The sequence below is a fragment of the Homo sapiens genome, chromosome 12, assembly GCF_000001405.40.
Source record: "Homo sapiens chromosome 12, GRCh38.p14 Primary Assembly".
NCBI lineage: Eukaryota > Metazoa > Chordata > Mammalia > Primates > Hominidae > Homo > Homo sapiens.
Window position 1 is genome coordinate 99,358,095 of NC_000012.12, and position 15,682 is coordinate 99,373,776.

The 15,682-nt window shown below is 35.2% G+C and overlaps 1 protein-coding gene across 22 annotated transcripts in view, besides 1 other annotated feature; it reads right to left on the reverse strand.

The window, feature by feature from the left end:
* ANKS1B (ankyrin repeat and sterile alpha motif domain containing 1B) overlaps positions 1–15,682 on the reverse strand; it is a 1,250,151-nt gene that overhangs the window by 623,309 nt on the left and 611,160 nt on the right. The window lies entirely within an intron of this gene.
* Positions 1,388–1,557: an enhancer, noted in NCBI's record as "experimental_31500 CRE fragment used in MPRA reporter constructs". NCBI's record gives its function as "activates a minimal promoter by MPRAs in K562 erythroleukemia cells, with activity observed for the non-introgressed 12:99753345 variant allele {active_cell/tissue: K562}" and the evidence as "EXISTENCE:reporter gene assay evidence [ECO:0000049][PMID:34662402]".

The following is a 15,682-nucleotide window of genomic DNA, read 5'->3' on the forward strand; positions in this document are numbered from 1 at the left end:
GATAGTTACCATTTTTTTAATTTTTATATAGGTTAACATTTACTTCTTAATTTTCATACACTGCTTTGTGGCATTCAGCTGATCTTAATTTTTATGTAGTAAAACATATTGATTATTTTCTTTATAATTAGTTGCATGATTTTATTACTAGACATTCTCCCCCATGTAGAAGTCAGTAAACACAAGACCCATACTTCATTCAATGTTATTTGAAGTTAACTATTTAATCCATTGAAATTTATTTTACCCCCTCTAAATAGTGACTATTCTCAATATCATTTGTATAATTCATTCTTCCCATAACATGTTGATGCTTCCCCTATAAAATATCATGGTTTTTATATTTAGTAGGGTTTTTATATTCTATTAAGTTTCATAAATTTCTACATTCTACTGGTATCTACAATTTTCCAAGTGGTAAGTTTAATTCATTACATTTTCATATTTAGTAGGGTCTTTAAACTCTACTACTTTCCATGGATATCTAGACCCTACTAGTACCACAGTTTTTAACTGGTAAGTTTAACACATTCTAGTATCTTGCCGGGAAAAGTTCCTGCCTGCCCCTCACTGTGCATGTGTGTGCATGCATACACACACACACACACACACAGGCACAGAATTCTACTCCATCACACATCATCCAAACAACAAATATTATAGAATGCCCTATATGTAGTCAGGAATTGTGTCAGATGACATGAATAGAACAACAGGTAAAACTGACATAGTCCCATCCCTTATGGAGCTAAAAGAATGTGGAGGTAGAACTAAACAAACAAGCAGGGAATTCTACTACAGATAGGCTATCCTAGGGCAAGTAGAGTATGCTATGAGCAGCCACTGGTACAGCCATGGGGGAGAAAGAAAAGCTTGCCACAGAAGATGAAATGAAACTAAAATCTAAAGTGTGTGAGATATAAAGAGAAATTGGCCAGGCAGAAACATCAAGACAATAATGAAATAAAGAAATTGATCTCTCTACCCCATTGTTCTTTTCAAAATTCTTTTAAATATATTTCATCCATTTATTCATTCAAGTTGCTCTAATGATCCAGTATCTCATTTGGTTTGGAAGCTCGGGATGAAATATTGCTCTGTTATCCAACTTTATGCATTTCCTCTATAATTCAGGCACTTGATACAAACTAGTCTACTACTTTTATATCTGGTATCTACCCTTAATGTACATGTTAGCTCCCATTTTCCTACCTTTCTCTCTTGTTATATTTAGTAGGATATTTTATTATTTAAGTAGATAGTTTCATACTCATTATTCTCCAGGGTTCATTGCTTACTACCTATGTGGCTTGAATAAAACCATAAATAATTACTTTCTAAAAAGATTGAAAGAAATATTTGTAGTTAAGTGTGCCAAGAGCATAAAAAATACAGCTTATAAAAATAATACAATTATTCTTTCTATAGGAGTGCTGAGGCTTATGAAAATAGTTTCTTATTGTTAAAAAAGATATAAAAAATGTTCCTTTAAATGAATGATTTCCATATATAATCAGCTTAACAATATCTTTAAAAATTGTGTTCATTTACATAGGTACCACTCACCTCGTGTAACGGGGAATGCAAAATATGATGTCATTAACCCATTTTGACCAAATATGCCTAAAGAAAACTAATGCTTCAAGTATCGATCAACATTTAACAGTATTTTTAATCTTTATATATTTATTTCAGGCAGGATACTAGTTAATTTAGTGTAAACCACGTTTAATTATTTCTGTTTATTTTATATATCCTGATAGTAATATAAATACCAATTACACTTTTTACAGTCTTGTTTCTCTATTCTTTCCATGGTTTTGGTAAAGTGTTAATAGTATTTCATTACATGTTTTCACTTGCAGGGCTTGCTGTAGAATACAGCTCAGTTTAAACAGTCAATTAATTTTAGCAGAACTGAAATTGAATGATGAAATATTTCTAGGCTGAGAAGAAAACTACAGTAAACTCTTAGCTTTTCTACTTTGAATTGGAATTTTTGCTCTTTTTCACTTCTCAGAGAATACCTAATCCCGACTAAATAATTAACTGACTGGCAGCAAAATGCATTAATTGTGGAGAACAGTAAGCTGGGTTTGACATCCATCTTTGTCACTAACAGAATCTCATCATGGCAAGAGTCACTTAATGTCTTCAGGTCACACTATTTTATTATTTGTGAAATGAATTAATAGGATTACAGACTCTTCAAAGTCCTTACTACCTCTAAAATGTTAAAATTCTGACTCTACCTTGTACATAAAAAGAACCAGTAATTCCAGTGTGAGTGCAGGGGTTTCTAAAGGCCAAATATCGAATACTAAATAATATACTATACATAATTGCATGATTTGTTCACAACTATTCATCCCCTCCCTCATCACAGCTTCTCTGTGGACAAAGTATATTCCCTGACCACTGATTTTGGGCTGGTCCCTGTGATTTGCTTTGACTTATGAAATATTGTGAAAGAGACAGTGTGGTAATCCCAAGAAAGGCTTTAAGAAGTGCTACATGCTTCTCATCACTTTCTTAAGATTATGTCCTCTTTCATAAGCACAGCATGTACAAAATAGTGGTTTTCTTGAGCCTGGGTCTCTCAATGAAAAGATGTGTGGAATAGAACAACTGACCCACGCCAAGCTGAACCTAGTCTGAGCCACTTGCAAACTTGTGGGCAAGAAATAAATCTTTGTTGTTGTAAGCCATTAAGATTTTGCGGTTTACTGGAGATCATTCTGTTAAGTGAAACACGCCAGGCACATAAAAACAAACACACATTCTCACTTATTTGTGGGATCTAAAAATTAAAACAATTGAACTCATGCATATAAAGACTAGAAGGATGGTTACCAGAGGCTGGGAAGGGTAGCTGGGGGACTGCGGGGAGGTGGGGATGGTTAATGGGTACAAAAAATAATAGAAAGTATGAAGAAGACCTACTATTTGACAGCACAGCAGGGTGACTATAGGGTGACTACAGTCAACAACAACTTAATTGTGCATTTAAAAATAACTAAAAGAGTGTAATTGGATTGTTTGTACACAAAGAATAAATGCTTGAAGGGATGGATACCTCATTCTTTATGATGTAATTATTTCCCATTGCATGACTGTATCAAAGCATCACATGTACCCCCATAAATAATATATACCTACTATGTAACCACAAACATTAAAAATAAAAAAAATTAAAATATTTTGTGGTTTGTCATCACAGAAAAAGTTGACGAATCAAGTACTAGGTGTACTTTTTAGAAAACTGATAAAAACAAACTATTTTTGAAAGTCTCATTTCAAACGCTTTATTAAGTAACTCCTTATTATCAGGGCTTTTGTTCCTTCCTTGATGCCTGGTATTGTACTGTATCACCTAAATTAAACATAGGAAAGAAGAGAAGGAAAAGTATGTTGAATGGGAAGTTAATAATGTGTCTCTAAAGCTATTTCTCAGAATTAGTAAGTGTTCAGAGTACAAACAGATGAGAAGTTTGGAGTCAACCTTCTAGCAGTGTTGTCAATATATCATCAATATGATATGGTTAATAAACTAGCTTTAATATGATTCAGTGAATCTTGTCTGTTTCTTTAAATTTGAATATCTATATGGCATTTTCAAATTGATTGAATAAATGTATTATTAAAACCTCTAAAATCACATAATCATTGGGATAACTCGTGATTTGTTTACACTTTGTAATAGCACACTGGGGGTGGGGGAAATGATGAACATTTGACCACATTTAATTTCAAAGGAAAAATTTGAATATATTTTCTGTTCGCATTTCCTTAACATTCACATAAGTAATTAAGATGACTAAATACTTATATCAGTACATGAAAGCATCTATGGAAATTCCAAATGCCAGGAAGAAAGTGAAGCAAAACATATATGCCATGTAGGAAGATAATTATACATTTTAAAAGTACATTATCAATCCAAAATAATTATGAAGAAAATCCTAATAATCGACTTCATTGTAGACAATATCCTAACACATCATAAGGACATTGCACAGCTTAGTGAAATGAGATAGCATATTGCTAAAATCTATTGGTGTCTTAAAAAGTGGAGGGGATTTTATGACAACTATAACCTTAGCAATTTTATCTATACCTATAAAATAACTTGATATAATAAAACCTTATACTCACCGCCAACATTAGACGAGTTAAAATTTCCTGTCAGTCTGCTGAGAGACTTCATTATACATTATCTTTACATATATTATCTCATATCCAATCTTCATAAGAAAGATCCTACGAGAGGGGTTCTGTCATTGTCCTTACTTTATAGATAAGGCAACTGAGGTTTAGAAACATAAAATACATTGCCCAAACTAAGTGGCTAAAGGTCAGAAAATATGACTTAAGAATTTAAATTCTTCATGTTAAAGTGTGCCTAATAAATGGAAGAGATGAAAAAGTCCTTCAGGTCATAAGCTTAATTTGAAGATATTAAATGTCTGTCATATCCAAAGTTACATAGATGGAAGCAGAAATTAAACAAGAACTTGAATTTTTTATTACGGTATCTTAACACATTTTACTATATATTTATAAAAATATCTGCTATAAAGTTCTTGAAATTTTATTTCCAAGCATGTATTTTACCTGCAAAGTTTCAGGGTGATTTTTATAGTCCCATATCTTAATAAACGCAGTCAAGTTATCTGCTAATTTTTACATTTTCTCCTCTGAAGACAGCTCAACAACCTCTAAAAGATACATTTTATCCCAGTAGGGGGTCTAGGAGCATGGAAATAATTAAGTTTTAAAATGTCTTTGTTATTTTATTCATATTTGATGACTTAATTAAGGGAATTATGAGATAAATACCCAAAGCAAGTTGATCTTAAGAGTAAATAATTATTATTTCCACTAGGGTCGAATTGCACATCTCAGTGATGTTTAAAAATTATTGTAACATGGAGGATGGTTATAGATATCCTATTAAATTGTCAAACATATTGCAAAGATTAGGCAAATTTTTTTCATTACCTCATTATGGTTAATGCAGATAAAAGACTCCTTCCTCTACTTAGCCTATAAAAAAATGCTTAGAAACTAAATGTTTAGAAGACTTCACAAATTCCACTTTTAGTAAAAAAGACAAGTGATAGAATAGGAAGGTAAAACTTAAAGGAGAAACTAGAAACTAGGCAGTAAAGGAAGGGAGAAATTATAGAAGAAATTATTTCCCTTAATAACAAATATTTCAATAAAATGTATTTAGTAAAATCTTTAACAGACTTGTTCATTATTTTACCATTGACTTAAGTAAAAAAGCAGATGAAATGCTATGATTAACAAATGACATGATGCCAAAGGAAATAAATAATACAGCGTATAAGTGATACAGGCTACCAAGAAATTTAATAAGGTGAAATTTAGAAGTAATAAAGACAACATTTTGCATTGAGATGAAAAATAGTCAGCATTCCAGCAGAGGCAGATTTACCACACAGGTCATGAAGCTTAAGCTTCAGGACCCTTGATTTACACCAACACCTTTCAGAGCCTGTACCTAATGTATATATGATAATCCTATTATTAAAGGGGACCTCTAAAATTATATAAGCTTCCGACCTCCAAAAACCTGACTATGCCTTTAAGTTTTAATTCCAATAGGATAATACAAACTATTTAACTCTGAATCCAACAAACCTTTATGCAACAAACCTTTCAGATCAAACAAGGACAAATAAAATCACCATAACCCATACCAGAGCATATCTTAGAGACAGAAGCCAACTTACATGTAAACGGGAGATATATTCATTTGAGACCACCAAAGTTGGCTCCAGAGCCCTTACCTTAGTGAGATGGAGGGGACTTGTATATATAAGAGGAAAACTAGGCATGTTTCCAAATAGATACAATTAGCCTCCCTCTCACCAAGGGGAGGGCTCTGAAGCCAGCTTTGGAGGTCTTAAATGAATATCTCTCCCACTTACATGTAAATTGACTTCTGTCTCCAAGAATGCCCCCAAAAGGAGAGAGTCCAATCAGTACCACCCTTAAAGTTTGTAAGATCCTGGGCAAATATTTTATTTTTTGCAGGACTCCTGTCTATATAAACAGTTTGATTAAAGATGTACTGCAAATTCATGGACTCATGCAAAGTACAGTGATTTATTAATGAAGAGTTAGAATAATGAGTAGACAAGCAGTATATATATATTTGTTTATTGTACATGTTTATTGTACAATCAGTGCACATGAAGATTCTTTGTAGTGTCTGATTACTGCCTATTTCTGTTCAGATCCAGAAACCATACCTTCATGTTCCCTATTGTCATATGTCCCATGCCTAACTACTTCCGCATCTCCCATCTGAGAAAAATGTAGCAATGCTATTATTGTTACTGCCATAGCTCTTTGGAAACTGTGTGTATTTAAGCAACACAGACCATTTTGTACCTGTAGTTCTCTAATATCATTTACTTAATGCTGTACATAATTACTCATGACACTGCATCATCTATCATGCACCCTGTGGATTCTGACTTCGGTGACTCTCTTGAAGGTTGTTATGGCATTGATGGTCATGAACGCAAGTCATTCCCAGAGTATTTCAGATAATGTGAATGATGGTTTGTTTTCTGGTCATGTTTTTACTGATGGTAGTTTTATATCATAAACTTATCTTCCAACCATGTGTTTCCTCAACTATTTAGATCAAAACCACTGCATTACTGATTGCATTGCTGACTGCTTTTGATTATTGCTATACTCCCACCTTCCACAAACTGCCACCAATGAGGAAGATAGACAAGGGTCCTAGGGGCAGTGAGAGAAGAGACTTTCTATTTCTGTAAATGAATGTCCATTGTTCATTCAGCATGGCTTAGAATTGGTCCCCCCACCCCAAAGAACACAATATCACTGCATCAATTGTAGAATACTGATTGAAAGGATCCACTGGCCATGCTGAGCAACAATCTAGAAGAGTCTTACCGGAAAACAGAATGATCATTCCCAGAGGACTGCTTGACATGTGGCATGGAGCCTGCAGAGGGATTGGGGTAAGCATCTTGGGTGCCAGTGGCTGGGAGTACATTGGGTTGAGGATACCTCCTGCAGCTCCTGCCGCCCACAAGGGCTGCCCACATGGGCAGACACACACCAGTGAGCATTAACACAGAGGCCCAAAGCTCAAGCCCAAAGGTCAGTGACAAATAGTTGGTAGCCCAGAGCTCTGAAACTCATCCTATGTCAGACATTGAGTCACCCAAGTACATATATCAGCACAATCTGATAGACCAATTTCATGTGATCCCACAAAAGAAATACTGTGGTAGCCAGCAGGAGGGATCCACTAGCCAGGCTGCTCTCCTGAAATCAAGGCTGGCCATGGGTCCTGGGACAACTCAGAAGGGTGTGAGCCCCAGAGTTCTTACAGGTCAGGTGGATGATTCCGGGTATAGAGAGTGGAGAGTTGTAGAGTGCCTCAAAGGTAAGAAATAGGAACCCGGGCCCATATGGATGGATCAGGGCCCTTAAGGCACAGGGCCTGAGGCAAAAACTACACTTCCCTGGGCCTAAGGGTGGTTCTGGGTCCAATTCTAAATGAGAAAGTATTCAGAACAGGTCTGATCCCTGGGGATCAGAGTGCTGAATGCTGGGGAGTCAGAAGCAACTTAGCGGGCAAGACCAGAAGTGGCGGTCTCTATCAGGTACCTCTTCTGATGGAGAAGGGGGCACTCTAAATATTAATAGTACAAGAGTTCCTTGGAGGTTTGATTACAAAGGAGAAGAAAGAAGTTGCTTAAAATAGGGTCGTACTGAAACAAAATTGTATAAAAAAATAAGAAAAGAAAGAGAATAATAAAAATCAACAAATGAAAAAATAAACAATTTTTTACATCCTTTACATGTCAACAGAAGTAGCCCTTGGACTAAGAAAATCAGCGTCACTGGACCTGGATCTATTTGCCCTAAGAGCTCATCTTTTCTCTTCTTCTGTTCTCTGTATTACAGGGGGCAGCCCCCTCTGGACTGTGTTTCTCTAGACTCCCAAATCAGCCGGGCTCTGGGTGGGCTTGAACAGCCATTTAGAAGCACTTGTGCAAGACTGGAAGGTGTTAGGAAGGGAGAAGTCAGGGGTATTTCTCTCCCTTTCTTTCTGCCTTGGGAAGTATCTCCATTGATGACTGTCCCTTTTTTATGGTTCCATTATTTCCTTGGTTTTCTTGGTTCCCGGGCTCTGATAACCACCATTTCCTTTTGTCTCTCAGCCTCAGGACACTAATGGCTTCTTGCTTTTGCTAGCCTGTAGGTCACCTCGCTGCCCCCAGTATGGCTCCTCTATTATTTCATCATCTGTGTAACTAACTCTCTGCTTTATATCCCTGTGTTGTAAACCTCTATAATTAAAACAGTGTGGTATTGGCCCATGAATAGACAGAAGGATGATGAAACAAATAGAAAGTCCAGAAATAGACCCAGGTATATATAGAAATTGGGTATATGACAAAGTTGGCATCTCAAATCGCTGGGAGGAAAGATGATCTTTAGAATAAGTGATATTGGTTCAGCTTGATAGACATTTGGAAAAAGTAAAAAAAATTGAATTCTATCTTATACATTATCTCAAGATTAATTTTACATAAATGTAAAAAATAAAACCATATAAGATCTAGAGGAAAACACAGTGAAATCCCTTATATCCTAAGAGTGAGGGAGCCTTTCTAACTATGACTCAAAATACGGAAGCAATAATGGAAAAGATTGAGAAATTCAACTACTTAAAAAAAAGAAATGGCCAAAAAAAATCATCATAAACAAAATCAGAGGACAAATCACAAACCAGATGAAAATATTGCAACTTATATCACAGGAGAAGGTCTAATCCAGTGTTTCTAAAGCTCAGCACTACTGACATTTGGGGATGGATAATTCTTTGTTATGGGGGCTGTTTTCTGCACTGCAGGGCATTCGGCAGTACTTTTGGCCTCTACCTACTAAATGCCAATAGCACCCCTTTCCCAGGTGTGACAACCAAAAATACTTCCAGACATTGCCAAAAAACGTGGGGAGAGGAGTGAGGAGGGAGGCAAAATCATCCCCAGCTGGGGACCACTAGTCTGTTCTAATATATAAAAAGATCTTAAAATAGTGAAGGAAAAATTCAAAATCCGAATAGAAAATTGGGCAAAAGACGTGGGCATTTCATAAAAAGAAGAGAAATGGCCCCTGAGCACCTAAAAGATTGCTTAATCTCACTCATACTAAGAAAAATGCAAATGAATGCTATTCTGAGAGATTTCTTACCTAGCAGATTGGCACACATCCAAACATTTGAAAGAAGTCTGTGAGCTACACATTACTGATGGAAGTGCAAAATGGCAAAAGCTCTTTGAAAGAGAATTAATCGGTATTTTAAAAAATTATATTCAGATTTTCTTTTGACCTAGGAACCCCACTTCTATGAATATTCCCCAAGAGAGAGAGTTCCAGGAGAACAAACCAACATATGTACAAGGTTACTTACTGCTGTAAAAGGCTGCAAGTAATTCAGATTTCCATCAATAGCAATAATGGAATAAACAATGACATACTACCCAATGAAATACCATAATGCAGACCTTAAAGGAAGTGAAGACTGTCTTTATGTATTGATAAGAAGTAATGGTCAGAATGTATTAAGTGGAAAATTCAAGGTTCAGAGCAGAGTATGTGTGTGTGCTTGTGTGTGTGTGTGTGTGTGTTGTAAAAAGAAAATTCTTAAAAATGATAACATAGCGGATGAATGGGAGGAATAAAGTAGGGAATAGATGGAAAGAAGAATTTTCTGAGTACACCTTTTTATATAATTTTGACATCTGAACTATGTAAATGCCTTATATAATTTTACAAATGAAAATAGAAAAGTTAAATCCTAAAATTAAAAGGAAACCAGAATAAATAAGCCTAACTCTATTTTAAATTAGTAATACGACTCGGAGAGAAAATTATTTCAAGTGACTTTTGGCAAAGCATTCTGATTATATTTTTATGACTACAATTTTAGGATATACTGTAAGCACAAAAAGTGATTCAAATAAATTTTAAATTTCACTCAATAGTTTTGTTGTATTGGGGACACATGAATGTAAAGATGGGAACAACAGATACTCGAGACTACTAGAGGAGGAGGGTGGAAGGGGGCAAAGGTTGAATAACTACCCACTGGATACTATGTTCACGACCTAGGTGACAGGATCAATCATATCCCAATCCTGAGCATTATGCAATATAGCCATGTAACAAACCTGCACATGTACCCCATGAATCTAATATAAAAGTTAAAATTTAGAAAAAAATAAAATAATTAAAAAGTATTTAAAAATAGTTTTGTTCTCATTAGAACCTACTTTATATGCTAGGATAAAACAAACATGAATGTCTTAGAAACTAAGATTTTCATTATAAAAGAAAAGAGACAATATAAGATCAAAGTTAGAAACTTATAATATTAAAATTTAATCAAAATCCTTCATATGCAGTAAGTATTATATATGCATTATAGATGTATAAAATATATGCGTATTTTTTCTTGCACTATCTGTTGTCATTTATTGTAAAACACTGAACATATAAAAATTCACAATTTTACAGTGGTTGAGAAAAGAAAACGGAAAAGAAAAAAGAATAAGATGAAGAGAGTGATAGAGAGACACACGACTATCAAAGCTCACTAATAAACCAACTTTTCACTCTAAAATTTGACAATTAAAAAAATAATTCAGAATATCGCACCTTTTTGGGAAAAGCTGTCGCCAATACCCATTTTATTTTGGAAAGCTCTTTATAAGAGATTAACAGCCAATAAACGTAGAAGGAATAATATTATTAGAGAATCAGAATTTTGCAATCCCAATGAAACCACTGTTCCCATCAAGGATCATCAAAGAATGATAAACCCTTACGTGAAAGTTCACTGGGGAATACCTGATGTCATTCCCAACAGTTCATTTACCCCACAGTTTACTTGCTAATTGCAAAGGGCAAACAGACCTTGCAATGAAGTGATCTAGTAGTAACCACCCTAAAAGTGATAAAATTTAGCATGACCAATAGAGCGAAGCCTGATATTTTATGCTTCCTAATGTGATGCAATATAAGGTACTCAGAATCACCTATGAAGTACCATACTCTTGCCAAATGCTTAAGCTAGATGTGCCCAAGACTTTGGACCTAATATCCAGGTTATAAAAAGTACAGGTATAAAAGGACAAGTTAAACAATCAGACAAATATAGAATGTGATATATTTTACAAGACAATTGTCATCATCTCAACAAAAAGTCAGTATCACAAAAATAAATGTTGGTGGACTGTTCTAGACTTAAAGAAACTTGAGTGATGTAACAATCAAATTAAATAAGTGAACTCTGGATCCTGGTTTGAAAAAGCAGCTGCAAGGTCATTTTGGGGAAAATTGGATAAATTAGATAGACAGATGCTAGATGAAATAGGCTGATTAGATATCACTTGATTAAGAAATTATAATTTTCTCAGTGTGCAAGGTATTACGGTTAAGAGAATGCTCTTTTCTATATGTATACTGAAATATTTAGGAGTAACATTATCTCCAGAATTTATTTTCAAATTTTTCAGCAAGCAAGATAGAAAGATAGATAAATAGACAGATAGATAAATGGATAGAAAGATAGATAGATAGATAGATAGATAGATAGATAGATAGATAGATGGACGGACGGACAGACGGACGGACGGACAGACGGACGGATAGACAGACAGACAGAGACAGATAGATAGATAGATAGATAGATAGATAGATAGATAGATAGATAAAATATGGCAAATGTTAACTCTTGAATGTAGGTTGTTGGGTGATGGGCATACGTTAATTACACTGTTCTTTCAACTTGACTGTTTGAAAATTTTAGTTAAAAAATGTGGTGAAGAACATTGTACAAATATAGGATGAGATACGATAGAACATAAAGAAGACCCTTATAAGTGTGTAGGAGATTAGTGGGGCATGATTGTTATTCTTAGATTACTTAAGGAGGCACAAAAAATTAGTCTTCAGCAGCTAACGGCATAGATATGATAGGGTTGCACTAGATCCACCTTCTAGGGCCAAAAAGGCACTGGTGGAGCTGTCTCAGCTGTCAGTGCTAACAACAAAGTTGATTAGACAAAGATCTATGGATCTAGAGTGCTTGGCCATGACTTAAAAAATAGAGAGCATTTAGGGGAAATATTGGCAGGGATAGCCTGCCTCAGCTATTATTGTTATGGCTTATGGAACATGATGATGGGTACAGCACCAAGAAATCCTGTCATCATGGACCTACAAACAGTAAGGATTTAGGCTGAGTTTTAGCAAAGGGAATAAAGAAAGCAGCTAGAAACCCAAGAAGGCCAGTGGATCCAGATGAGTTACTAGAATCTCTTTAAAAGACAGGCAACAGACACACAGACATGCAATGAATTCAATAAAAATTATATAGTCACAGCACATTTTCCCAGTCTCAGGAGGTTTTTGCCCTCTGGATGGAAGGTAATTGTTTGTTAATAAGTACCTGGCTTCACTACACATACACTAGTTTCAGGGTGAAATATTACTTTAATTAACTAGTTGAAATTTCACAGGTCTAGAATTTAATTACCTGTTGGAACTGTAGCTAAGATATCATGGTCTCATAAAATTTTACTGCCTTTTAAAAATGACCATAATTTATCAGAATCTTGGGGGAAATTGTGCATTGTGCATGAAAACAACAAACATTGGAATATAGTTAGTCCTAAGATTGAAGAAGAGACTTACAAGTACTTCGATGCACTCTACTGAAGTTCAGATGAGAGGACAGATTCTGTTTCAGTGACAAAGACAAACTGGGTTTCATATTCACTGTTGTCTTCACCTTCTGCTATAGAGTTTCTGGGTTTTTTGTTTGTTTTTGTTTCTGTTTTGTTTTTTTTTCTTGCTAGGCTCCCTCAAATCATGGGACAGTTTCTGGTTTTGGACCCCAAGGAAAATCTGAAGGTAGATGAAGTTGTCCTTTGTCAAACTACCCCTGCTTTTTTTGTGTGTGTGTTAGCTCACTTTGTATGGCATTTAGAGCCTGTATGTCCTAATCTATTTCTTCATTATGCAAAGCATTGAATAGTTTCCCAGATTCTAATTGTCCTTGTCTAGGTAGCATGTGTACCAGGGTATTATATTTTACTGTATGTTGTCTCTACACATGCCGCACCAGATTAGGCTCCCAGGAAGCCCTAAACTCTTGGTGATAGTTTGATGGAGGAAGGAGAGTAGGATGAAGCCTTTCCTAGTCCCTGAGCTTTAGTGATCTCTGTAAACGCACAATTTAAGAGATAAGACATGTGAGAAGAAGGGTAGGATTAAAGATCTGATGAATTAGTTGCTAATCTATTTCTTAGGCAAGTAAATTTATCCCTCTTGGTATGTGTCAACTTGTCTAGGTCACAGTACCCAGTATACACATGTGCACACACACACACACACATATACATACTGAGAGAGAGAGAGAGAATTTACTGGTTTTGTATCTCTGAAAAAGCCTAATACAATGTACTCCCTCATCTGTGAGAACCTTCCAAATTCTTCAGTTTTACAATTTCATATCTAAAGAACAGGTCTTTGTTGCTAAATTACTGCCTGAAAATAGTTAAGCTCTAATTATTAAGGAAAAAAACATTCCTGTGAAAAATATTTTCTTTCCACTTATAATGCAAAGGTAAACTTCACCAGTATATAATAAGAATAAATTATTAATAAATGGCACCTGTACTAATAATAATGCTTTACTATTTGTTAAAATATTCCATAGTACTGAAGACATTTAACTACGTTAGTAAATGACCCAAACTAACACTATTATTATTTCTTTAAAATTGGTGACACAGAGGGATGACTAGGCAAAGCATAGAGGATTTTCAGGGCAGTGAAATATTCTATATGATACCACAATGATGGATACATGTCTACTTACATATTTGTGTAAACCCATAGAATGTACAACACCAAGAGTGAACTCTACTGTAACTATGGAGTTTGGGTAATAATGGTGTGTTAATGTAGGTTCATCATTTGCAACACATGTACCACTCTAGTGGGGGATGTTCATGATGGGGGAGGCTGTGCACTTGTGGGGAGTAGGGAAATATGGGAAATCTCTGTACCTTCCACTCAATTTTGCTGTGAACCTAAAAAGAAAAAATATGTCTTAAAAAAAAAACTAATGACCCAAGTGTGAATAAAACATGGATTACATAGAACTTAAGGGTTTAAAATCAACTTGCACCATACTGAAACCACTTAGGGTTCTTATCATGCTGTGTTTCTTATGATTCGTTTGTAATTAGTCAGAATATACTGCAGCTGTTTGTGATTTCAGGGAAGAATAAGATGTTTATAAAGAGAAAATGTTCCATTATCTCTGCTTTTTAAAATTCCTTTCTTTGTAAATGATATTTTATGATATGTTTTCCATCCTCATTTCAAATCCTAAACAAGACTGTTAAATAGGGGTTTGTCATACATAGAAAAATTGCTACATATTAGCTTCTTTCCCCACTTCCTCCCCTAGTTTTATACATCCATACACACACTCACGCACATTATTTTTATATGCGACAATTTCTGGCTCTGCATAAAATGTTACTGCAAAAGTACACTGTGTCAAGTTTTTTCAGCTGCTTACATTCCTACTCTGGTACCAGTGCCAGGGTTTCAGGGCACTACAATTTCCTTTATATCTCAGTGGTTATTTTGAAATTATCATGTCTCATCTGCACTCCCTCATAATGTATGCCTTCCATGTCATATTAAGCTGCACTCTTTTCCCTGCCTTAATTCCCTAATTTCTGGAATGATATTGGAATTGGTTATGATTAAAACAGCAAGGGTCTATATTAAAAGCAAGTATCTTCCTCATAGATAGATCATGAAAGTTTGAGGTACCATGAAATATGATGTGAAAATCACCTTCTTCAAATATCCAAGAAGATCACTAGTAAATTTCAAGTGTAGGTTCATTTTTACATATATCTTACTTACCCCTGGAGTTCCATAGCAGAGGTGGTAGTGAACTTGACCACTAGTGAGAAATAAGAGGAACTATGGGGTAATTGTTCCCAAGGAAAGGGCAGGAATAGGCCATTATGTGCATGTAACTGTAAAGAGTCAGTAGATGCATCAAGAGGTATCGTATGACAATTGGAAGATACAGAAATAAATTCCCAGGGTTTCAAGATAATTGGGAGAGGAAAAAAGGAAAGACAGTGTGGTGGACATCTTTTGTTTTTGCTTGACTAGAATCCTCCTTCATTAGTAACAGCATCTGAGAAACTATCCCTTCCCTATTAGACGGGTAAGAGTCTCAGTTGCAATGGCCCATCCTCCCCTGACCAAGAATGTAGATTTGGTCCAATACAGGCAAGTCAGACACTTCATGGGATATGAATCTTTAACTGAACAACACAAAGGCTGAAATTTTTTCCAGCTGATTTATCTCAATGATGGTGTTTTAAAGAGACTTTTTCATTAGTTTCTTCTCCCTAGATATCCCTAGTTGCTCCAGTTACTGCTCTTTTTGAATACTTGTTTCATTTTTTGTTTTTTTTTTAAATCCTGCTTACATTAGTTGCATGCAATCTTACAAGCTTAACTGACAAATCATTACCAACAAATTAGATTTCTT